A 23,243-nucleotide genomic window follows, 5' to 3' on the forward strand; every position below is an offset into this window, starting at 1 on the left:
TCTTGATGACGGTAATAATCACAGGAAAACCTTATATTTGTGTAGTTCTTTACAATTTCCAAGATATTTTCACACACACAGCCTTTTAACCTCACAGATTTTTTCTGAGACAAGGTCTCGCTCTGTCGCCCAGGGTGGAGTGCAGTGGCGTGATCATGGCTCCCTGCAGCCTCGTCCTCCTGGGCCTCAGCCTCCAGAGTATCTGGGACTACAAAGCCTGCGCCACCACGCCCTGCTAATTTAAAAACAAATTTTGAAGAGACAGGGGGTCCCGCTATGTTGCTCAGGCTGGAACTCCTGCTCCTGGGTTCAAGCGATCCTCCCCACTGCCCCTCCCGCCGGCCTCCCAAAGTGTTGGAATTACAGGGTGCGCTACCGCGCGTGGCCGCAAATATCTTACAGGGTTGATAGAATAGCAAGTAATACTATCCTTATTTTCCAGCTAAGGCAAAGCTCAGGGAGCCTAAGTGCCTTGTCAAACCAAATAACCAGTAATAATAATAATTTTTTAAAACCTGTTAATAAAATCTTCCTATTTGCCATTGGCAGAAACCAGGGCTTAGACTCAGGATATCCTAGGATGGGGGCAGATCAAATGGACTAGTGGGGCAGTGGCACGACCTGGTGGAGCATAATTAAGAGTCTGAGGGTCACAGTGGACCAGGGTCAGGATGTGGATCAGAAGTCCAGTAACTGGTTTCTGAGAATCAGGATCCAGGCAGAACAGGAAACACAAATCAGGGAACCAGGACGGACCTGCAGCACAGGTGGTAACCACAGTTGCATTTCCAGTCAAGAGCAAGGTGGTAATACCTAAAAGCCAATTAAGAATGACACTGTGATACTCCCATTCTAAAGTGGGGGTGAGCATAGAACACTTGTGAGCACATGCAACAAATCAGTACCTACGTCAAACTGACATATAATAAGTACAACTAATGTGTATGCCCTCTTAAGGACGCAATTTACTGTAAATTAGCATTCCTTAATCATTTGTAAACCACCCACTTCGGATTTTGTATGTGGTATGTTTCTAAATACGAATTCCATTTCCTGAATTGCTGGTTCAGCTTTTCAGCCACGAAATAATGTTTTTCTTCTCTTTTAATAATTCTGTCATTTTGTGTTCTTTTCTATAACGGTTCTTTCAATTGCAGTTCAGTAAAATACGCATTTGCATTTACTAAGAGTTTACGTGGCCTGAAACAGAAAACAAACAAATTAGGTGGTCGTCTCGGTTTCCTGGAGTGTCCAGAGGGGCGGTTCTTTGATCTTCGAGTCCAACGGGCTCCGGGCCCGCCCGTCGGTCCGGGCGGAACCACCCCCACCACACATCCTCCGGGAAGGCGGCAATGAAAACGCCTTGGGCCCGAAGTACGGCTTGGGAAAATCGGCGCAGATTCGGGGCCGCCCGTTGGGGATTCCCAAGGTTGTGCAGCCCAAAGGGCCTCGTCGGAATTTCTGAGGCGATGGGGTAAACCGACCCTTGGCGACACCCGGCCGCACTCGAACGTCCTAGGTCGTCGAGCCCCGCCCTCACCCTGGGCGAGCTCCGAAATTTAACCCCGGTTCGGTTTTGCCTGTTTTACCACTATTTGAAGAGGGGGACTCAGCTTCCCTCTGGCCCTAGCCCAAGTACTGGGGTTTGCGCCGGACGGAGACCACGCCCCAGGGCGGCCAGGCCAGGGGTGATGGGTGACGAGCGGTGCCTCCAGGGCCCCGGTGGGTGACTGTGGCTGGGAACTACGGGCTTTCTCGCCCCGGCGCCCCCTGGCGGACCCACCAGCAGGTTGAAGGTGTCCGGCCAGTGCTGAGCACCAAGAGCCTCAGCCTTCAGCCAACCCCCCGCCCCCGCGGCCTAGGTAAGTGAATCGCTCAGGGTCCTTGGAAAGAAGTGACCTTGATTTGATCTTCCCACCCACTATCCCAGTTTCTCAGAGGCAGTCAACACTGTTCCCACCAAACCACTCCCAAAAGAAACACTAAGCATGTAAGTAAGTGGGACAATAAAAATTTAAAAATAATTTTAAAATAGAACAGCTTAGAGATAGAAACTAAATTATTTCCAATTCCTACTGTGCCCCAAACAAGGTTCACAAAAGGGCTGTCCTCCCAACAATTTTCTGAATTCTATATATTCAGCATTAAATTCCATGATAAAGTTGGAAATCCATTCACCATTTGTAATACATATTGATGCATTTAATAAAATTGCATGGGCCGTATCTTTTGCATTTCTGTATCCTAGTATTAAGTACAGTGCCTACCACAGGCCAGGTTCTCAATACTTGAATAAATGACACAAAAATAGCCAGGACCAGCAAGTTTTTTCTGGGTGGGCTTCATAGAATCTCTGTACTTGCTGGAATCACCATGAAATCCATGGTCTTCAGCTTTGCATTTTCAGCCACATAGTTATATTGAGTTATCCTCAGGTGAGCAGTGAGACCCTTGGGAGCGGATTCATGGTAGGGTGGCTTTGTAATGTGTCACCTTGGTGAGGCTATGTTTCCCGGAACTCTCTTCCAGTAAGATGGGCCACAAGAGACATTTTGCTTGATAACCGGAGGGCGGAAGTGAAGCAGCAGCACATTGTTTTTACACTTGGAAGGTTGGTGCTGGGGCACCAGGCGTTGTTGCAGTTCACACGTTGCCATGTATCTGCTAGATCACCTCGTTGGTGTGGGCAGTAGTCAGGCCTGCAGCCAGGCCTGCAGCTGCTCCACCTTCCCCAGGATCATCCTTTCAGCTTCTCTAATTCCTGGGCCAGATGCATATTTAACTCTGTGAGGAAGGGCACCAGCTTCTTCTGCAGGACACCCACATCATCGAAGCTGGAGGTGGTGAGAGACTGACATGGGTTCCAGGCCATCCTCGTGGGTTCCAGCTCGTGCTCGTGGGCTCCACTGTGTCCTCGGTCTCCCACACTTTACATCCATCTTCCCTTCCCGAGTGCCTGCCCTGCAGACTTCAAGCTCCAGCATTAGATGCAAAGACAACAGCCTTACAGAGACTGTTTAACCAGCTCCCACAATGGCATGCGGTCAGATCCCTATAATAAATCCCTTAAAATACATATATACATAATCTTTATCTTAGTGGTTCTGCTCCTCTGATTGTACCCTAACATAAATGGTCAGCAGAAGCTTAACTCATGAGTCTAAATGTCAATCAAATAAATTTCATATAGATCATTGTCAAAATTACCAGAATACTGGGGTTGGGTGGTTGGTTCCTGGGGGAAACAAAGCAGTATCAGTCTATCCAGTCTTGACTAGGGCTGAACTAGTTAGGATGGAATAAAGGAAGGGGTGGGGAAGGTGGCAGAGGCTGGACTGTATGAGACAGAACTGGGAAATGGCTAATCCATGTCTGAATTACTTAAAGCTGCAGGGCTGGGACTAGGGTAAGGCAAGGGAGGCACACAGGATACAAAGTTTAAGGAGGCACTCACTCAGTCCTGGCCCTGTAAAGCTGGCTAACAAATTACAGGTCTAATCTTTTTGGCACTTTATGAATGAAGAATTGGGAGAGAGTGAGGTAGGGCTGAGCCAAGACTGGCTCTTGGGCAGGACTCGAAGCAGGAATTCAGCCTCCTAGAACACATTCAGGCTGAGGGCAGGAGCCAAGCACAAAGGTGATCACAGGGCAGGAGATGCACGTTGTCAGGAAAGATGAGCCAGGCTGGCAGCTTTAGTTACAAAGACTGCTCTGGCTGAAGAGGGGGAGTCAGGGTAACAAGCAAAATGGACAGCAGCCAGTGGGGAGATATATCCTGTAGGGTTTGAGGAATCCTATGCAGCACCTGGGGTCTGCAGGAAACCCAGTTTCTGTATGAACAGATGCTCTGACAAGGTGACCCCATCTACATTGAGCCTTGGCACTCCCTAAACCATGCTAGAGACAGGAATGTAAGGGATTTATTATAGTAATTATAGTAATCTGTGTTTTCAAGGTCACCGAAAACTCCTGTTAGTGCATACAGGATTACAGGTTACAGTTTAGTGGAGTAAAGAACAAGGGCTTTAAAAGCTGGGTTTGAGTCTAGGCTCTACTAACACCAGCTGTTCGACATTGGACAAATTAATGAGTCTCAGTTTTCCCATCCACATAAATGGACAAAATCAATGTCTTCCCAAAAATATTATTTTAAGGATTAAATAAACTGGGTCCACAGAGGAACACACCAAATAGCAGTTCCTTTCCTTATTTATTCAATTACATTTTCAATTGCTATCTCCCTGAGGAAGTATGTAGAGACACTGCCAGGTCTCATCCAGAAGCCACTTACAATTACTCATGAACATGGCTTGTTTAGGTTGTTTTGTGGTGGCTTTAATTATATTACCTTTCTCCAACCCAGCTCCCCCACCCTTAAAATCCAACTTCTTATACTCAGGCTCTTGGGGAGGAGAAGATGCACCAACTTTCTACTCTTTCTCTTCCTTTCCCGCTTACTTCTTCTAGAAGCTCAAAGTACTCTTAGGCCTGCTCTTCTGGTTTGGTAGTAGGTTTTTCCTCCTAGGGTTGATTCACACACAAGCCCTGGCAACCAATCTAGGGTCCAGCCCCTAGTAGATCAGTGTTGTCTCTCATAAAGCCAGTCTGCAAATATCACCTTGAATCCTACAGTCTGTAGAAGCCTCCAGTCTACTGCTTTCTAGCTCCAGGTTTTTTAAGGTCTTTGGACCTAGGGAAAAGGGAGCAGGTCTGTATGTTGAATGAGGTTTGCTATGTGCGCAATGGAGCATTACAAAACCATTTCCTACTATTCTGTGTCCTCCATCCACTTCCCCTTAATTATCCTTTATCTTTTTTTATATCTTCTAAAAACTACCATTATAGACAGCTTGTACATAGTCAGATTATAAGCTCCCTGAAGGTAGGTATCCTGTGTCTCCTGAAGGGTAAGCTTTGCAGGGCTCATTGTCCTCAATGCTGTGCACCCAACAGGAACTCAATCAATACTTCTGTAATTGGCCAAGTATAGATGAAAGGGTTTCTAGCCTGGTGGGCTGGTTTGTAGGAGCAAAGGAATCCAAGTGCTTAGGCCAATAGTTTACATCGCCAGTGTCTGGGGCTCTATGCAGGGTCTGTCAATATTCTGCAGGAGCCAGCACTCCTCTGTCCTCCCAACCACCCTAGTCCTTACAGGCATCTACCCTTTGTTCTATGCCAGGACTACAGGGACAGTTCTGCAAGGCATCTGAAGTTAATAACCTCAATAGGCTCAGGAAAGGCTCAAGAGATCCAGCCCAAGCCCTTCCACAGAGGCCGCTCCAGGAAGTGCAGGGCAACCAGAGATCACACAACTACGTGTGAACCCAGCTCACAAAGCCAGCTCGGAACCCAGATCTCCTGCCCATACCACTGCCCAGGCAAGCCCAGCACCATTTCTCTGGTACACATTGCTCAATGTCAGGCAACAGCCCACCCAGAGGTCTCCTGGAGACTCTAAAGGCCTTCAAGACCCAAATGATTATTCTCTGAATAAGAATTTATATATTAAAGCTGACCCCTATAGAAATTCCTTAGGAAAATAGGGACCAGACTCCCTATCTTTTTCTTTCAAATCTCATGATAGAGTACCAAGTCTTTCCCCTACCCCCAAAGGAGAGTCCTAACCTGGAATGCTATTGGGCTGGATCTCAGGAGAAATCTCTAGGGTCCTACACACACGCCCCTCATTAATTGTGACCAGCATAGTGGGTATGGGCCTTTACCTCCCACCACACCATGCCAAACTGCCGGCTATACTTTCAAAACTCAGGGCCCACATCTGGCCAACACCCACTCCTTCCCCACCCCTCACTGTGTGGGGCACACCTTGGCAACCAGACTGCTGTATCTCGGAAGCGGGTTCCACCCAGGCTGAAAATCTCCGTGATCTAGAGAAGAATTAACACCATAGGTCAATGTGGTTGTTGGGGCTACAGCAGGGTCAGGGCAGGGTGGGGCATCCCCAGCACTGACCACGGGTGTGCCAGCCCCTCCTGCCTCTTCCTCTGGGGCCAATTTGGAGGCAGAATCATCCTTGTTCTCCTCCTTGTCCTCCTCTGGGTCAGGTGGCTCTTGCTTCACAGAAGGCAGGCCTGGGTCTACTGCCTGGGAGAAGTAGGAAACAGGCAACCATTAGAAGGGCAGAGTTCACCTGAGGAAAGTCTCTATCAGCCAACCCCTCACTGTGCTGACAAATCCTACTTCCATCACATTTCAACACAGAAAGTCCATCTCTCTGCCTACAAAGCTTTCCCATTCCCATTCCTCACTGACCTCCGTTTTTCTGTTAGCTGGATAGCAAAGCGGGCAAAGCTAGTTGCCTGTGGGAGGTAGGGTGTCTGTTAGACAGGCGGGGTAATTCTGCAGAAACGTCGCAATCAGCACATCTATTGCTCTGCTCAAGAGAACCATCATGGCTCATCATCACTCTGCTTACAGACCACTCCGCTACGGCACCAACAGAACATCCATCACTGCCCCCACCTTGCTAGGGCAGCCAGGCACCAATACGGGAGAAGTCAGGACAGCTGTGCCTGGTGTCCACTCGTCCTGGGTATCCGCCTTCTCTTGCTTCACCTGGGGTAAGGCCACAACCCAACTCAGGCCAGAGCACTGGGCCTCCTGCGTGAGGGAGGATTGCAGCAGACTTGGTCTCAGCTCCCTGGCATGCAGCTGGGTGAGGCTGGGAAGGCAGGACAGGGTGGGGCCCTCACCTGCAACAGGGCTTCTGTGGAAGCTGCAACAGGGCCCGGCACCTGCACAGGACTGCTTGCGCCTTCCCGTAAAAACACAAGGTCAGTGCCAGGCGGGGGCAGCACAAAGCCACCACCTGCTTCCTGCTTCGTTGGAGCCTGGGTATGGTCTGGTTGGGCTGTGCGTGTAGCCAAGGTGGGCTTCAAGGTAGGGCCAAGATGGTGCCGTCGGGCAGAGCTGGGCCTCTTTCGACGACGGTAAGGTGGGGGCGATCCTGCCCCATCCTCAGACTCTGACCAGACACTGGGCAGCAGCCGCTTCTATGGGGAAAGATAGGGTGCTATGGCTACCTGGTGTCCTGACCAATCACATCCACCCTGCCCGGCTCCACATGCCTGCTAATCTCCCATCAGTCCCAGCACGGAATCTGCTTACATATGAGCCCTTCATCACTGAGCCTGCTAGTCTCCTATTAGCAACACCAATGCCACCTAGACTCATTAAGCCAAGAACAATGTCTGTTAATCCTCAACCAAAGCTACTGCCCCACCCACCCACCTACCAAGCCTGCCCACCACTTCCAGGCACTGGGGCGCCTGGCCCAACCTATCCCGTCCACCTGACCCTTCCTGCCCCACCCACCATGGCAAACTGCAGGCATTGGCGCCAACGACACTTCTGGCGCTTCTGGTTGCTGCCCCCGAATTTGGGCTTGTCGCAGCAGAAGTCGCAGCGGCCACAGTCCATCCGCCGTAGGCAGGCTGCACAGGCCCCGCACTTGCGGTTCTGCCGGCGGTTCGTGTAGGGCTGCTGGGGTGGGGGGAATGGGTGGTGCTGTCAACTAGGACTAGGAGAGGCCATCCTCAACGCCTATTCCAGTGCTGGTCCTGGTGCTCCTCTAGCCCCATAAGACGGAGCTACTTGCATACTAGTCTCAGCCTCCTGACTCCCCACTAGTCACTCCTCAGCATTCGCTAGTTCAACATTGGCCACTATCACTGTGCCAGCTGGCCCTCGATACCATTAGGACTGTGGCTGCTCCACTACAGTATCCACTGCTGTATTTCCTAGGCCACCACTAGCTACCAAGAAAATGTCTCTGACCCCCATTTCCAGCAACATTTTGATAACTCTCTATTAGCTCCCATCACTGTGCCTACTCTGTCGCTCATCCTAGGTGAACCCCAGTCACTATGCTAGCTGCTCCTCTGTCAATCCCCACATCAGCTACCAGAGTGTTGGTATATGTGACATGAAGCACTCTCATGCACCTGCTGACCCCGTATTAGTCCTCCATTATCTACTCATCCCATCCTAGGACCCATTATTGTGCCTTGCTGTTCCCCAATAGGCTCATTCCAGCATCTGCTTCTTTGAAGTTAACCAAGCGTCCTGAGATTCTAGGCTTATCCAGGTAGGGTGGGGCCACTCACTAGCTCGTCCTCGTCTACACAGTAATAGATGAACTCGGCAGGTGGCGAGGGGGCCAGGGCTCTGGGGTGCTGTAGAGGCAAATGGGGTGGGGTCAGGGCAGGTACTGGGTAAGGTCAGGGTTGTGCCTTCCCTCCACCCACTGGGGCCTCACCGGCTCTGTGGGCTCTGGGGACTGTGATGGGGGTGGTGGAGGCAGTGGCTGGGCTCCGGGGCGCCGCCTGGCAGCCATCTTGGAGTCACAGCCTCCCTTGCGGCGGGCATGTTTACCCTGGGAAAGATCAGAAAGGGTGGTTTCAGCTTGGTGGCACCAGGCAGACACAGAAACTCCCCACACCCTAAGTGCAGAAAGCATGCATGGGACAGGCAGACAGAGGGTGGCGTGAGGCACTCACAGTTGGGGGAGCCACAGCCAGGGGAGTGCGTCGCTGACATCTCTGATGACGGCGACGCAGGCGGTGAGCAAGGTGCTGGCAGACAGAGGCAGGTAGGCGGGGCCAGAAAGGCGAGCATAGGGTTAGGCAGAAAAGAAAGACATGAGGTAGGCAAGGCCAGGTTGAAAGGAAGCAGAGGCAGCGACGATTTTAACAGCAGAATGAGCTCTGCTCCCTCCAGCCCAACTCACCCGTAGGCAACGTCGCTGGACACATTTCCACTGGCGCCTGAGACCAGGGCGGGGAGGGCGAAGGCAGATGGGGCAATGGCCACAATCCTCTTGGGTCTGACAGCCCCGGCATACTCCACACCCTCGGCTCTGTTGGCGGGGGGCAGGTGGGAGCAGAGGCATGAAGCATGGGGCCAAGCCCATGGGGGCCAGGGGCCGAGGTGAGCCTTGGGCTCTTTCCACTTGCCCAACTCACCCTTTCCACAATCCGGAGGCAGCGTCTCCGTTCACACTTGCAGAACAGCCCCGATGCCACATCATGGGGCAGCTGCAGGAGGCAGGTGGAGCAGGCCCCACAGTCTTCTGTTACCTGGCAGGCTGCACACTCCCCACAGCCCACACGCTGCCAGGAATGGTAGGGACGAGATCACGGGCCTGCTCCAGAAGCACTGGTCCTCCCATGTCTACTGACCCTACATCAGCTGGCATCACCATGAATTTTAGTCCCCCATTAGCCTCATCACCGTATCTGAGAAGGTCTGGTTAGTCACCATCACTGAGGCCATTAGTATGTCTACTGGTCCCCTGTTCACTTCATCACTGTGTCTACTGATGCACTAATGGTAATGGGGATTAATTACCCCATTAATTCCCATTATTGTGTCTGCTGACCTATGGAGAGCACCCTATAAAATGACTCTTCATCCTGTGGACCCATCATCATCCCTTCAGACTCTACCAGCTCCATCACATCCTGCTCCCACTGCAGAGTTGTGAAGAGGAAGCAGGTTGTGCTTACCTTAAACATTCTCTGTTCCCGGTTGAAGGCAATTCTCTGTGCTGTGGGGAGGAAGAGGGAAGAAGAAAAGTGGAAAGGAAGCAACAGACATCTGACTTCACTCACTGCCTGTGCCCTGACTTCCACTATTCAACCTCTACCTATGCCTGCTATCTCCAATATCCAACCTCCAACCATGCCAGTAGCCTCTGTCCTGACATCCACATTCAAACCCCAGCCTAGCATGACACTGGACCTGCTCCAGCTCCTATCTCCCGATGCCCCATCCTCTGGAGGCCACTCACCTCGACAGTCTTTGCACAACGTTTTGAGCCGCTGCCTTTGGGTGCCATCCCCTGAGAAGCTGATTCCACAGTTCTCACAGCACCTGGGATGGGAAAGGCAGGTGTGGGGCTCCAAGAGCACCCCCAATCACAACCCTCACCCATCTGGCTCACCTTAGACCAACACTCACCCAGGAGCAGGGAATGAAGCTGGGGCTGTGTCAGTGTCAGCCTTGGTCTCATCCCTCGGGGCCTCCTTCCTGACCTCACCACTCTGGGGTCCAACCTGACGTTTCCGAGTCTTGGCTGGCCTTGAAGGCTTCTTTCGCTTCTTGCTGGCAACCGCCACGGGATGGGCCTGGAAAGTAAGGGAAGGAGGAATATGGGTCAGTGGTTGGGTGTTGGGTGGCACATCCACCCCTACCTAGGTATCTCATGTTGTGAAGTACCTTGGGGGCTGGATAGCACAAGATGCCTTGTTTGAAGTCGAAGAGGGTGAGATCACACGCAGGGCCCAGGTATCGAGTCAGCTCAACTTTGCTTCGGATCCTGTCTCCTGTGGGGCTAGGGATGGGCCATGATGGGTTAGCACCCAGGTGGAGCCAATGCCATTTCACTCATACAACCTTTTGACAGGGCTGGCAGGATATAGGAGGCAGCCTGGAATTGGCTTGTGAGCCCTGCCCAGCCCCCACCTCAACTAACCTTGAAAACATAAAAAAATTAATATAAATACCAACACATATAGAAACATTAGAAACAATATAAATGTAAACAGATGAACATATTTACAACATATAATACTAGTAATACTGGAACTATTTCATGTAAGTAAAAATAAACACAAATAGGAACACAAATATATTATATTTGTGTTATATATATATAACACAAATATAACATATAAATGTTAGCATTATGTACCAAGTATATATCAAGTAAAGAAAACACAAATATGTTTTAAAAACATATAAACAAATGCAACTACATACAAATTAAAGTATAAGTAATTGATTTTGGGACCCCCATGGGTTTCTTGCATTTTTGTATGCCCTGCAAGAGAGACAACGATTGTCCTTTTTGATAAACTATCTTTCCAAGGATGTTTGTAAAGCAAACAACCTTGGAAGATAAGAGATAGGGTCTCCTTCCATAGGAGGAAGGGAAAGTATACTTTTTCCAAAGGGAAAGCATACTTACTGTCTTAATATTATTTAAAAAAAACCTGATTCTCTAAGCTCACGGTTCTTTTCCTATAATAATACAACCCTCTTCACGTCATGCTGTAGGAATTGGGATTCAGAAACTGGCACAAAAATAGTAATACAGTAATTCCCCCTCTCGTGCAGGGGATACATCCCAAGTTCCCCAGTGGATGCCTGAAACCGTGGATAGTACCAAACCCTAATGTAATATGTACTGTGTTTTTTCTATCTGATAACTGAGATGGTTACTGTGTGACTAACAGGCAGGTTGTGTCTAGAACATGGATATGGATACGGATATGGACAAAGAGATGATTCACCTCTTGAGCAGGACTGAGCGGGATGGTGTGAGATTTCATCACGCTACTCAAAACGGCACACAATTCAAAACTAATGAATTGTTTATTTCTAAAATTTTCCATTTAATATTTTTGGATGGTGGTTGACTGTAGGTAACTAAAGCTGTGGAAAATGAAATTGCAGATAAGGGGGAGACTACTGTATTCTGGATCCTGCAACTGTTGTAATAAACTGTCTTTGATCTGTAACCCAGGAGTCTTACCCCTCCTACCAGCATCTACAAAATTCTGACAAATTCACTATTATCTTGTCCTAAGAATGAAATCTCAGGTTCTTTATAGTTCTTGACAACTGCACTTTTAAGTTTTGAAAGTTTTATACAAGTACATAAATATGTGAATAAATTATAACTAAATATAAACAAAAAGTAATTTGTAATTTGATATTTACCTGGAAAGATAGCAACTTAGATTTAAAAAATCAGAAAGAATATAGAAACTTAATAATGTTTCTTAAACACATGTAAATGCTTATAAACATCTATGTTGACTCTCATTAGTTATGGTAGTTACGTTCTACAAAGCTATCATGAACATTGAATACAAAACCATTGCTCCTAGAAGAAATACAGGGTTAGGTTCCTGAGAGCATCTGAACTTTTGTTTTGTGTGTGTTTCTGTTTAAACACACATTACTTAATACATATTTTTTTTTACAAATGATTATTTGCATGGTCTTTGAATGACTCAAACCAGGGGACTTGGAGGCCGTATGTGTTATGTAAGGTTTTTTGCCAATATTCTTGTTTAACAAGCCAATCTCATTGACATTGAAAACCACTCTTCCACACAACCCCTTTCCTGTACAACACTTAACAGGTATTTTTAAAATTCTTCGGAAGACTCCTGATCAGCAGAACCTGCATTGCATGCAGGTTTAACATGTTTCATGCCATGTCGCCTTTTGAAATGTGCAAGTCAGCCAGCACTAGCTGATATAACCTTAATATTTTCCTAACCCAGGGTAACATGACTTTGGCTTTCCTCAACAATGCTGTCAACTATGCTTTATTGATCGTCATTTCATGAACCCACCAATGTAGCTGCTTTCTCATCTCTTACATAGCTTCAAGACTATAAATGCTTTCTGTACTTTCTGAAGCAGCTTTGTGCACATATTGGCAAATTTCCTTCTTTTTCTGGTTGTACCATAATTCTGATGCATAACATTGAACTTACAGCCAACAGCATTGTAACTCAGATAACCAGCAAAGTTTATCTGCCTTGTATTTTCTCCATAAAGCACGACATAGTCTTCTCACAGAACACTAAACAGCACCTCAGCACTATGCTTGGGGACCATTTTAAAAAGCAAAATCACCAAAAAGTACAAAAATTAGAAAAATGTGACACTAAACAGACCACGAAAAGGACACCTGTTTACAGTATTAAAGCTGAAAAGGGCTCCTTCAGCCTCAGCTAGAAATACATGCATTGAGTGACAGTTTTTCACTGCTCTGTACGTATTCTTGAATAATCACAAATGCACTGTGAGTAGTGACTTTTAAGTTACAAATAAATTTTATTAAGTAGGTGAAATTCAAACATAAAATCCGCTAATAAGGATTAACTGTATGTGCATAATTTAAACTTCATCCATAAATTTAACCACACCATTTGATTTTACCAGAATCAGGCTCTACCCCACTCCTGACTCTGCCCACTACCCACCCAGTACCTCTGGTAATAGGTGTCTGAGCGTCCACAGGTGGCCCCTGACTTGCGAAAGACTTCGCGGCGCTTCCAGCCAGGGCCCAGGGCCGGGCAGTCCAGCCAGTCCTCAGCCATGGAGGCCACAGGAAGCAGCAGTAGCCTGAAAGGGGGTGGAAGGGATGAGGGAAACTGAGGCTCTAGGAAGGGACAACACTGTGCCCCAGGCCACACAAATCACTGGTATCCATTAGTGCTTGCCCAAGCCCTAGGACCTGCCACAGGCAACCAGCCCATATATGGAAAAGAAACCCCTCATATTCTCACCCCATTCTTTCCTATTCTGGGCCTAGGATATCATCATTCCTCAACCCAAGGATCCCTGTTTCTTATTCTCAGTGTCCTAATCCCCTACTCCTCTCTATCCTCAGACTGACAACCCATCATTTCTCCTCACTGCCAATCCAGAAACTTTTCATCCTTCCCCCTCATTCCTCCCTGTCACTGACCTAAGGGCCTCTATCCCTCTATTTTATCACCCCAAGACCCCCATAGTCCCCATCCTCAGCCCCAAAGGGCCCCATTTCTCTTGCCCTCACTACTTGACTTCAGTAGTCTCTCATTCCCCCCTTCCTTGACCCAGGAGTTCCTAATTTCCCTCCTTCAGTGTTTTAACCACTCCATTCCTTCTCTGCCTGATGTCCTCTTATCCTGCTACCTCAGTGTTACAACCTCGACTTCCTCTGCGAGACACAACTGCTCCAACCCATAGCCTGAACAGCCCCTCATCTTTTCCATTCCTCACACTGGAAGCCTCCCATGCCTCCCCTTCCTCAGCCCAAGACCTCCCCCCTTATTTTTCTTCTCCTTCAATGTTCTCACCCACAATTTCTCCCTAGTCTGAGCTCCCAAACCTTCCTCTACAGCCAAAAAGTTCCCCACTTCTCCTCCTTACTGTTCTCATCCTCCATTCCTCCCTTATCATCCAGAGAGACCCTAATTTCTCCCCTCAGCATTCCGAACCCTCCTCCATTCTCTCTGTTCTTGTCCCGGGATCATGCCATCCCTAACTGTCACCATTCTGATCCCCTACTGCTCCTCGTCCTCTATATGGGGCCTCCTATTCCTCCCTTTCAGCATTCCAAAGCCTCTATTTCTCCTGTCATCAGCCTGAGGGCCCCTCATTTCTCCCTCTCAGAGTTCTGAACCCCCATTTCTCTCTCAACTTCAGATGCCCCGATGTCTCCCTTTAGCGTTCTGATCTCCACCATTCCTCTCCGTCCTCGTCCCAGGATCCCGACACTCCTACCTGTCAGAGTTCAGAGCTGCATTCCTTCCCGTCCTCAGCCTAAATCCCCCCATTTCTCCTCGTCAGTATTCCGACGCCGCCATTCCTCCCCCTTATCGGCCTGAGGGCCCTTCATTCCTCCCCGTCAGCGTTCTGAGCCACAATTCCTTCCCATCCTCCGCCTGAGCGCTCTCCACGTCCAGCCCCAAGGCTGTCTCACCAGTTTGGCACCAGGCCGGTATCTTCCGCCACTCTAGGCCCGTGGACCCATGGCGAGGGTCCCTCCTGCACCTCCCGCCTCGCCCTCCTCCCCTTCCTCCTCCTCCGCGGCCGCCTCCTCTGAAGCGGTAGCTGTCGCCTCCGCGGCTGTTCGTTGCTCCCGGAACCGGAAGTCCGCTGCCTGCCTCTCGGGCTCCGCCTCTGGCTAAGCACCTGCGCACTATTGCCTCGATGTCGCGTGCCCTTAATAGGGAGGCTCCCGCGCCTACGGGCCGGCGCTCCGCAGCGGTGCGCGCGCCCCCCTGCCGAGAGCCAGTTGCATCTGCGTGCTGACGTTCAACGACAGCTAACCCCTTCGAGGGACTGGCAGTTGCGGCTCTCCTCGCTGCCCATCTAGCTGGCGCATGCGCTTTCCAGCCTCAACCTGAAGGGAAGCGGTCGGGGAGGGCTTGCGCCTGCGCCCTCCCTTCCCTCCCGCGGTCTCCACAGCCGATACCGAACGCGGCAAGGAAGCTGCTTCGCGCCTGCGCACTCCCTGGCCCTGCCGGCGCTCTCCTCTCCCACCTCTCGCTGGGGTCTATCCTGTGTTCGTGGGTCCCTCCGAACATCAACCCCAGGGGGGGTCGTGTCCCGCTCCCTCCTCCCCGCCGAACAGCTGTGGGAGCGCGCGGGGCGGGGAAAGGGGCGGTGCCACACCGCAGGTAAACTGAGGCACGCGGGAGGGCGCGCCCCTGCAGGAGGCGGATCCCCAACGTGGGGCTTGTGGGGAAAAGGCGGGGCCTGGCGTCCACAGCGGACGACAGCTCTGGGTGGGAGACAGGAGCATGCATGGGCGGTGTCACCACACTGAAGGCGCGCTGCGTAGACCCTCTGCCCGTGGGAGGCTGGGAATGTGGGTCCCTGGGCTCTCGCGGGGTGCAGGCGCCCCCCATCTTATCCAGAAGTCTGGAACAGTTGCAACCGCAGCAATGTGGAGACAGCTTCCTTGGTTTCTTCAAAATTTTATTAACAAAACCCAGGGAGAGGAGGCAAGGATGAGTGGACTCCGCAGCCCCACCAGGCACTGAACATGTCGACGGGGACAGTCCCTCTGATAAAGGCAGATGGGCGGTCAACCGGTGGATGGGCACAGGGAGAACCGGAGAAACAGATGAGTGGAGGAACGGACACACGGGCACCGGGCGGCTCCCCCATCTGGAATGCAGGGTGTAAGGGGTCCGGGCCAGGAGGCTCAGCGGTCGGCACTGGAGCGCAGGTCGGTAGTGAGGGGATCGTGCTGGATCGTCTGGTGCAGCATCAGGGCCAGCAATCCCGCGCGGTTTGTCATGGCTGTGCGCACATTGCGCTCCTGCTCAAACAGCTCGTCCAGCTTGTACCACTGCCAAGGGAGCGGCAGGAGTCCTAAGCAGGAACACCTGCAGCCCCGCCTGCCCCGGCCACGTCCGACATGGAAACCTACCACATGCAGCACCAAAACCGCACAGAAACCTACCACACGCACGCGCTCCAAGTCCACTTCCGCACGCCGCAGCTTCTCCCAGCAGTAATGGCGATTGCACTGGCGCTTGGGCAGGCGGCAGAAGTCACCCGTGAGCTCAAAGACATCACGTACAAGGGGGCACCCGCATACCTCGTCAGCTGGCACCTGCAAGGAGGCCAGGTTGGGGGGATGAATAGCGGTGATAAGGGAGAATAGGAATGGGGGCTCAAGGAGGGAGAAGGAAAAGAATGGAGGGTTCAGGGAACGGTGAGGAGGCATGGAAAAGGAGGAATGGAGGGTGAAGCAGCAGGGAAGCTGAGAGGAAAAAGTGAAGGAAAAGTGAGGTGAGGAAGGAAGGGATGAATGTGGGACAGCGAGGCAGGGAGGAGGGGCAAAATGGGAGGAGCTGAGGGAAAACCTTACTTTGGGGTCCCGTGAGTGCTCGGGGCACAGCACCTGGAGCCGCTTACAGTATGTTTTGCTCTGAGGATTATACACATCACAGAAGAGTCGTGTGGCCCTGGGGATTTGGAGTAGAGAGGGCAGTAGAGGGAGGGAAGGGAGGTCCATCTGTCCTGGCTGGTTGCCCGTATCCTGCCCCAGCTCCACACACATCCCACTTCTGACCCCCGCCTTAACCCCCCACCTCTCACTGCGTGGCACCCTCACTTACCCTTCAATGCGTGTGGGGTACATGGACCCAAAGGACGTCTGGCTCTCATACTGGAGGGATGAGCACAAATGGAGGGAACTGTGGATGTGCGCTGCATGCCCTCCCAAGACACCACCCAGACAACAAATCTGTCCCCCACTGGCCCACTGATGTTCCCACATGGTCCGCCCCCTCAGTCTGACACCCCAACCTTGGCGTAGCAGCGCTCCATGTGGCGCAAGGCAACACGTGGGTTGATGGGGTGCCCACAGGAAACACAGAAGATCTGCAGGTCTGTGTCATCACTGTCACCCTCGTTGCTCTGCATGGAATGGAAGGAACAATAAGGCTGGGAAGGACAAAGTACAGGCCCTGCTCTGCTGCGCCCCTGCTTGCTCACCTCCTCATCCTCGCGCACAGCCTGCTGCTTGGCACGTAGAATGATGGCCTCAAGCTCATGGAATCGGCGTTCCATTTCCTGAAGGCGAGTGCGGGCACTCTGCTGCTCTCGGCGAATGCGTTCGAGCAGCTTCTTGCCGTGCTCTTCAGCAATGCAAGGGCTCTGCTGCCACTGCTGGATGCGCTGGGGGAGGATCTCGTAGATGCGGCTGCAGGGAAGGTAGCAAGCAACAGAATGAGTGAGGTGATCAGTAAGTGAGAATGGCAAAATAGACGCAAATGGCAAAAGGAGAAGTAAATAGGTGACTGGCGGAATGGTGGCTGGATGGACACACGGGCAGGTGGGTGGGTAGGTGGATGGGTGAGTGGGTAGTGGCTGTTTGGTGACTGGTGGATAGCTGATTGACTGGTAGACATACAGAAGGCTGTGGTCAGGCCCTACCATGCACTTCCTGACTCCCTTGAACCTCTCAGGAATGACTCACTTGGCTGCCAGCTTCATGCCACAGTCATCTGAGCAATACTTGGAGCTGGGCTGGGCGGGGCGCACACAGCCGGGCCCCAGGCACTGGGGCAGTGACGCAGGGTCCTTGGCATCAGCCCTCTCTGGGTGTTTCCATTTATCCTTGTGCTTCTGCTTCTGCCGATGCCGCTTGTATCGCTCCTCCTTCTGTTGAGCAAGACAAGTCAGGTCAGGGTGGAGTCAAAGTCAGCCCCAGACCCCAGACCCTTGCTCCATTCTAGCCCTTTCTGGCTCTTGCCCCATTCAGCCTCTGACCTCTGCCTCTCCCTCAACCCCACCCTCTGCCTTTCCACATCCACTTTACCCTCTCCATCACCTTCTTCTCAGACTTCTTCTCCCGACGCTTCACATGCTTCACTTTCACTGCCCTCTTCCGCAGCGCGGGGTCCAGGAATGGGGACTCTTCTGTGTCGCTCATCCAGGGCTGCAAGCAGGGCATGCACTGACCCACCTGCCCCGCTCGTGACAACCCCACCACCTACTCATGTCCCATATCAGCCTTCCATACCCTCTGTCTCCTCATTAGGGATACTCTCTGCTTCTGTAACCTCCACCCTTCCACCAGTGGATGCTCCTGTCTGCTCACCAGGCCATGGTCATCAAAGGCCCCTGCACAGAAGTCCTGATACAGGTCAGGATCCAGAGGTAGGTCCTCATCTGAGAGTGGCTCAGGTGTGGCTGTAGCCTCAGGAGGCTCCTTGACTGTTGATGACGCCACTGCCCCCTCATCTTCACGGATGCGCCCTAACTTCTGTGATGGCTGTGGCTGCTGTTGGGTGGGCAGTGGCCGGCGGGGCCTTGGCAGGGACTCTGAGGGCGTCACTGGTGAGAGCTGCAGGGCAGAATCTCAGGACTGGCCCTGACCGCCCTGCCCGCATGCCCCACCCCACCCTGGGGGGCTGGACTCACCGAGGAAGGGAAGTACTTGTACGATTCCTGTGCCGGCAGGAGGAAGGCCCAGGTCAGCCCCAGGTGGATGGAGGGCGGCCTTGCCCTAGCCCTACCCACCTGGCCTGGCCTTACCTCCCCAGACACACCTCCCCGCTACCCCTCATTGCCAGGAATGCTCAGCCCTGCCTGATCTGTACCAACATGCATGACCACCTGAAAACACCTGGCCCCACTCTGTCTACCCAGGGTTGGTGGGGGTGTTCTGCCAGCCCAGCATACCAGGTCATGCCCCATTCATCTGGACATGACAGGCCCCTTCCCACCTGTCAGGATACAGTCAGGCCCAATCCCACCTGGTTTATCCATGCCTAGACTTAACTAACCATGCATGGACCCACCAGCTCTCCCACACCTGACCCTACCCAGCTCTGTCCATGCTCACCCGGGCCCGCAGCTGGCACTGGCGCAGCCGGCACTTCTGCCGGATCTTGTTGGGGCCCCCGAACTTCTTCATGTCCCGACAGAAATCACAGTGACCACAGTCCTCAGTGCGCCGACATGCCTCACACTCACCACACATGCGGGCTGACCGTTTGATCTGCTGCTGCTGCTGCTGGTGATGCTGCAGGAGGGGGCCCAGAACAGAAATCATGGACCCAGGCAGGGCTGAAACGGAACCACTTTACACATCCATTCACTTTATGCAGCCACTCACCTGGCTGGGTGTGGCCACCAAGGGCTGCGGAGAGGATTTGTGGGGCGAAGCAGAGCCCCGAGCAAGCATGGCCCCAACCCCTGTCCCTGACCCTGCCCGGCGCTGCAGGTCTGGATCAGGGACAGGCCTCTTGCGCCCTCCACCCTCATCCCGGGGCTCACTGCTGTCCCGCTCATTGCCATCCCGCTCCCGTGACTTCTTGTGCCGATAGCGAATCTCTAGCTTGGGGTCTTTCTCTGTGGGGCAGAGAGTAGGGCCAAAGTGAGTGAGCACTGGATGGCTTGAATGGTCCCAAAACCTCTTTCTTCCTCTTCGCTCCCTTACTGACCCACCCACCTACTCTGCACCCCTGTCCAGGGCAGAGCTGCCTCTTCCCGTGGGATCTTCTATTACTCACAATGGAGCCCCATTCCAGCTCACCACAGACGTGTATCACTAATCCCCATAACCCCCCCTTGTGGCTCCTCCTCCTCCCTTGAAGCCCCACCTGCCTTCCCTGTCCATCCATGGCCCTCACCTCTGCACTCCCGACAGTACCACTCCCGGATGGCCTTGGCCATCTTCTCAGTGATCCGGATGCAGTCCCCATGGAACCACTCATTGCAGTTGTCACACCCGCTGCAGAGGATGGGGCAGGCGATGGAGATGTGAGGGGCGCGGCCCATCGGCCTCACCCCACCCTGCCAGTGTCAGCCCCGCCCATCTCTCCCGCGCTCACATCATGAAGCAGTTGATGTCCGGTTTGCGGCAGATGCAGTAGATGGGCGCATTCTCCCCATTCTCGGACTTGCTGTCCTCCCCGGCATCTGGAGGCTCTGGGTCTGAACCATCTCCCTCCTGCAGGACACCCCCATTACGGATCCTTAAGCAGCCCCCACCGTGGCGGCTCATCCCCCCATTACAACTCCACCGTGGTCAGCAGGGATCCCCACTCTGCCTGCAGATTTCACATCGGGGCCCCCAAAAAACCTCTCCATCACAGTCCCCACTGACCCCCATCCCTTCCTCTGACATCCTATTACTCTGCTCCATACTTCCCATCACGCACCCACCGACACCCGCTCCCTGCGTCCACACTCGCTAATGGGTCATGGCGACCCTCCATCGTGGCGCCTCACAGACCCCGCGTAACTCACTGCGGACTTCCCATCGCGGTTCTCCACGCACCCCTCCCTGTTTATCTCATAGACCCACCTGGCACCCGCACCCACCCCCAGTCGCGGCTGTCCACGGATACCCGGACACGGACTCCTCGTCACGGCTCACTACAGACCACTCAATGTGACTCCTTACAACCCGCTTATCCCTCTGCCCTAAGAACCCCCGATCATGGTTTCCCACGGAACTGCCACACGGAGTCCCCACTAAACTTCTATTAAGGAGCCCCCCACCGTGGCTCACCATAGAACTCCCAGATGGTTCATCATTCTGCCCATAGACTCCCGCCGTTCAGTCCACAGACTCCGGTTATGGCTCACCACAGACCCCTGAGTCGGCCGACAGACCCCACTGTTGCCAACCGACCGACCTCCACCGCCGAACCCCTCCCTGGACCCGCTACTTACCATATCTCCGCTCCCGGCGCACTCCCTCACGACCCCCGCCAGCGACCCGCGAACCTGCACAGACCACTCGGCGGCGTCCCAGGCGGTTGCAAAGGCGCCCACAACTACTTCCGCTTCTAGTCACGCCTCCCAGGCAGCGTACTCCTATTGCGCAGGCCCCATGCGTCGTCTCCGCTGCAAACCAGTAGGTGGCCGGCCTAGAGCCCCCAAGACCCCTCAGGCGCCGCCATCTTGCTTATCGTATCCGTATGGTGGCCGAATCCATATGTTCGCCGGGAACATGGCCGCGCTCTAATGTGGCTTTCCCGAGGGCGCCGCCACCTTGTCAGTAGAGTCCGTACGGCGGCTGCTTGTACGGCCTCGACGTACAGGCAACATGGCTGCACCTACTGCGTGACTTCCTCATAGATGCCGTCATCTTGGAATCCGATTCCGTACGTGGGTCGAATTCCGTACGTTCCTAGGCGACATATGACGGCGACCTAATTGCGGATTCTTCACGGGCGCCGCCATCTTGGTGGTTGATTCCGTACATTGCCCGTTTGTCAGGCAGAGAGGTTCACAGGTAAAGTGACCGCTTCCGAAGCACGACCTGGATCAAGTTGTATTCATTCCTCCATTCAGTCTCTTTCCCCTTCCACATGTATTAATGGGGCGTCGGCAGGCTGTGTGCCTTGCGGGGCGGAGGAAACCAGTTCCTCTGTCGTCTCCGACTTCACCTGCCACCACTCTTTCCGGCTTTTACTCCTCCCACTTGTCATTCTTCTGCCAGGCCTGGCACGGTTCGGCTTCTATTTATTTTATTTTTATTTAAAAACAATTCTTAAACTAATATCAAATCTTATTTTAGTTCTATAAGCTGCACAATAAGCCTAAACACAGTTTACTTATCCATTTCTTTATTGTTTAGCATTTAGAACATTTTCAAATATTATTCTAAATAAAGTTGCAACGAACATTCTTAAACATAGATCTGTATGCTCATCCCTGATTATTTCTTGTGAAATGTGATATACAAATTTACAAATATACAAATGTGATATACCAGGTGTAACTCTGGTTAACAGCTGTAAGATGGAGCCTGGAAGCCAGGCTTTATTTATTTATTTATTTATTTATTTATTTATTTTATTTATTATTTATTATGTATTTATTTATTTATTTTTATTTATTTACTTATTTTTTGAGACGGAGTTTCACTCTTGTTGCCCAGGCTGGAGTGCAATGGCGCGATCTCAGCTCACTGCAACCTCCGCCTCCCGGGTTCAAGCGATTATCCTGCCTCAGCCTTCCGAGTAGCTGGGATTACAAGCATGCACCACCATGCCCGTCTGATTTTTTTTGTATGTTTAGTAGAGATGGGGTTTCACCGTGTTGGCCAGGATGGTCTGGATCTCCCGACCTCAGGTGATCCGCCCGCCTCGGCCTCCCAAAGTGCCGGGATTACAGGCGTGAACCACCGCGTGCCTGGCCCGCCTGGAAGCCATTCTATGGACTCCCTGCAAACTTGCAAAAAGGAAAACAAACAAAACAAAATTAAAACACAACAGGAACTTGCCTCGAACCTTTGAATTGGTCCAAACTGCAATGACCACACAGTCCTGGAAACCAGCTATATTTCACTAGTGCTGCGTCTCCTGAACAACAACCAATGAACTATGGACTGATGCCAGCCAGCCGCCTCCACCAATAATAATTTCTTTAAAAGAACTTGTGTAATCACCCTTAGCTTCCTTTTTCTTTTTCTTAAAAACTCCTTCTCCCCTTCCTATCTTTGGAGTACAATTTGACTTCGAGCTGAATCTGTGTCTCCTGAATTGCAGTTCCTAATGCCCCAATAAACTCCTGCATTGCAGCTTGGTCTCTTGCCTCTTCTTAGTTGACTCTCCTTAGAGATAAAATTCTAAAAGTAGAATTACTTTGTAATTGGCTATAAATATTGTAAGACATGTTCAAATTTATAGGAGGTCATTAGTTTGGACAGAGCTCCTGCTCTAGGCCCCACCAAAATGGAGTCACTCACGCTGAAGTTCCATGCCACCAAGCCAAAACTAAATTGTTCATCTGACCTTCCAAGGAGAAAGAGACAGGATAATAGCCAAATCCCCATACAAGCCACTTTTAGCTTGAAAGTCCCCTTTGCTTTAACCTTTATAAAAAAGCAACCTGAAGCAATCTGATGTTAACCAATCAGCTTTAAAAAAAAAATTGTTCTTTTTCCTTGCTCCAACCTTACAAAATTCACTGCTCTGCTATTTCCCAGGAAAAGCTCTCGTTCTATTTTGTATAATGGGATCTGCCCCAATTCATGAATTGCAAGTAAAAGCCATTACATCTGTAACTAAATTTGTTGTAATTTTGTCTTTCAATGGTTGATACATATATTTCTACCAGCAGTGTATGAAGGTTCCTATATCAGAGCCTTATTAGGTTATTAGATTAGTGCGAACTTTTGTTGTTGTTGTTGAGACGGAGTCTCACTCTGTCACCTAGGCTGGAGTGGAGCG

General features: G+C 51.6%; 2 protein-coding genes across 169 annotated transcripts, besides 11 other annotated features; both read right to left on the reverse strand.

Annotated features, from left to right (window-relative positions):
* Positions 35–14,917, reverse strand: MBD1 (methyl-CpG binding domain protein 1). 165 transcript variants are annotated; one of them, NM_001399965.1, is made up of 18 exons: positions 14,513–14,673; positions 13,033–13,167; positions 10,240–10,346; positions 9,982–10,148; positions 9,812–9,894; positions 9,528–9,568; positions 8,985–9,131; positions 8,750–8,878; positions 8,520–8,594; positions 8,279–8,395; positions 8,127–8,195; positions 7,336–7,503; positions 6,714–7,010; positions 6,484–6,576; positions 5,974–6,105; positions 5,827–5,888; positions 4,619–4,690; positions 1,996–2,968 (listed from the first exon to the last, which is right to left on the reverse strand). In NM_001399965.1, the coding sequence occupies exons 6-17, from the start codon at positions 9,534–9,536 to the stop codon at positions 4,651–4,653; spliced, it is 1,338 nt and encodes a 445-aa protein (NP_001386894.1). In that variant the 5' UTR covers positions 9,537–9,568; positions 9,812–9,894; positions 9,982–10,148; positions 10,240–10,346; positions 13,033–13,167; positions 14,513–14,673; the 3' UTR covers positions 1,996–2,968; positions 4,619–4,650. The 165 variants fall into 165 exon arrangements, with proteins under 165 accessions (NP_001386829.1, NP_001191068.1, NP_001386812.1 ...); NM_001323949.2 differs by having other exon boundaries at positions 1,996–2,956; positions 6,484–6,621; positions 6,714–7,013; NM_001399888.1 differs by having other exon boundaries at positions 1,996–2,961; positions 6,484–6,621; positions 6,714–7,013; positions 7,336–7,500; positions 10,240–10,354.
* Positions 1,237–1,426: an enhancer, noted in NCBI's record as "active region_13316". NCBI's record gives its function as "activates an Ori minimal core promoter by ATAC-STARR-seq in GM12878 lymphoblastoid cells {active_cell/tissue: GM12878}" and the evidence as "EXISTENCE:reporter gene assay evidence [ECO:0000049][PMID:35858748]".
* Positions 1,587–1,856: a silencer, noted in NCBI's record as "silent region_9455". NCBI's record gives its function as "represses an Ori minimal core promoter by ATAC-STARR-seq in GM12878 lymphoblastoid cells {active_cell/tissue: GM12878}" and the evidence as "EXISTENCE:reporter gene assay evidence [ECO:0000049][PMID:35858748]".
* Positions 8,458–8,958: an enhancer, noted in NCBI's record as "H3K4me1 hESC enhancer chr18:47801678-47802178 (GRCh37/hg19 assembly coordinates)". NCBI's record gives its function as "activates a minimal SCP1, AML or CMV promoter by ChIP-STARR-seq in primed H9 embryonic stem cells {active_cell/tissue: H9 hESC(primed)}" and the evidence as "EXISTENCE:reporter gene assay evidence [ECO:0000049][PMID:30033119]".
* Positions 14,406–14,485: a silencer, noted in NCBI's record as "silent region_9456". NCBI's record gives its function as "represses an Ori minimal core promoter by ATAC-STARR-seq in GM12878 lymphoblastoid cells {active_cell/tissue: GM12878}" and the evidence as "EXISTENCE:reporter gene assay evidence [ECO:0000049][PMID:35858748]".
* Positions 14,496–14,605: a silencer, noted in NCBI's record as "silent region_9457". NCBI's record gives its function as "represses an Ori minimal core promoter by ATAC-STARR-seq in GM12878 lymphoblastoid cells {active_cell/tissue: GM12878}" and the evidence as "EXISTENCE:reporter gene assay evidence [ECO:0000049][PMID:35858748]".
* Positions 14,751–15,331: an enhancer, noted in NCBI's record as "H3K27ac-H3K4me1 hESC enhancer chr18:47807971-47808551 (GRCh37/hg19 assembly coordinates)". NCBI's record gives its function as "activates a minimal SCP1, AML or CMV promoter by ChIP-STARR-seq in primed H9 embryonic stem cells {active_cell/tissue: H9 hESC(primed)}" and the evidence as "EXISTENCE:reporter gene assay evidence [ECO:0000049][PMID:30033119]".
* Positions 15,332–15,912: an enhancer, noted in NCBI's record as "H3K27ac-H3K4me1 hESC enhancer chr18:47808552-47809132 (GRCh37/hg19 assembly coordinates)". NCBI's record gives its function as "activates a minimal SCP1, AML or CMV promoter by ChIP-STARR-seq in primed H9 embryonic stem cells {active_cell/tissue: H9 hESC(primed)}" and the evidence as "EXISTENCE:reporter gene assay evidence [ECO:0000049][PMID:30033119]".
* CXXC1 (CXXC finger protein 1) lies at positions 15,497–20,842 on the reverse strand. 4 transcript variants are annotated; one of them, XM_017025718.3, is made up of 16 exons: positions 20,737–20,842; positions 20,573–20,658; positions 19,890–20,008; positions 19,689–19,789; positions 19,172–19,407; positions 18,899–19,078; positions 18,475–18,501; positions 18,152–18,397; positions 17,882–17,989; positions 17,528–17,712; positions 17,044–17,251; positions 16,855–16,965; positions 16,665–16,714; positions 16,415–16,511; positions 16,004–16,156; positions 15,497–15,889 (listed from the first exon to the last, which is right to left on the reverse strand). In XM_017025718.3, exons 2-16 carry the CDS (start codon positions 20,573–20,575, stop codon positions 15,743–15,745), a joined length of 1,971 nt encoding a protein of 656 aa, XP_016881207.1. In that variant the 5' UTR covers positions 20,576–20,658; positions 20,737–20,842; the 3' UTR covers positions 15,497–15,742. The 4 variants fall into 4 exon arrangements, with proteins under 4 accessions (XP_016881207.1, XP_011524242.1, NP_055408.2 ...); XM_011525940.3 differs by having other exon boundaries at positions 17,870–17,989; NM_014593.4 differs by lacking the exon at positions 20,573–20,658.
* Positions 19,586–19,635: an enhancer, noted in NCBI's record as "active region_13317". NCBI's record gives its function as "activates an Ori minimal core promoter by ATAC-STARR-seq in GM12878 lymphoblastoid cells {active_cell/tissue: GM12878}" and the evidence as "EXISTENCE:reporter gene assay evidence [ECO:0000049][PMID:35858748]".
* Positions 20,456–20,575: an enhancer, noted in NCBI's record as "active region_13318". NCBI's record gives its function as "activates an Ori minimal core promoter by ATAC-STARR-seq in GM12878 lymphoblastoid cells {active_cell/tissue: GM12878}" and the evidence as "EXISTENCE:reporter gene assay evidence [ECO:0000049][PMID:35858748]".
* Positions 20,696–20,785: an enhancer, noted in NCBI's record as "active region_13319". NCBI's record gives its function as "activates an Ori minimal core promoter by ATAC-STARR-seq in GM12878 lymphoblastoid cells {active_cell/tissue: GM12878}" and the evidence as "EXISTENCE:reporter gene assay evidence [ECO:0000049][PMID:35858748]".
* Positions 20,896–21,265: an enhancer, noted in NCBI's record as "active region_13320". NCBI's record gives its function as "activates an Ori minimal core promoter by ATAC-STARR-seq in GM12878 lymphoblastoid cells {active_cell/tissue: GM12878}" and the evidence as "EXISTENCE:reporter gene assay evidence [ECO:0000049][PMID:35858748]".

Source organism: Homo sapiens, chromosome 18, assembly GCF_000001405.40.
Source record: "Homo sapiens chromosome 18, GRCh38.p14 Primary Assembly".
Lineage (NCBI taxonomy): Eukaryota > Metazoa > Chordata > Mammalia > Primates > Hominidae > Homo > Homo sapiens.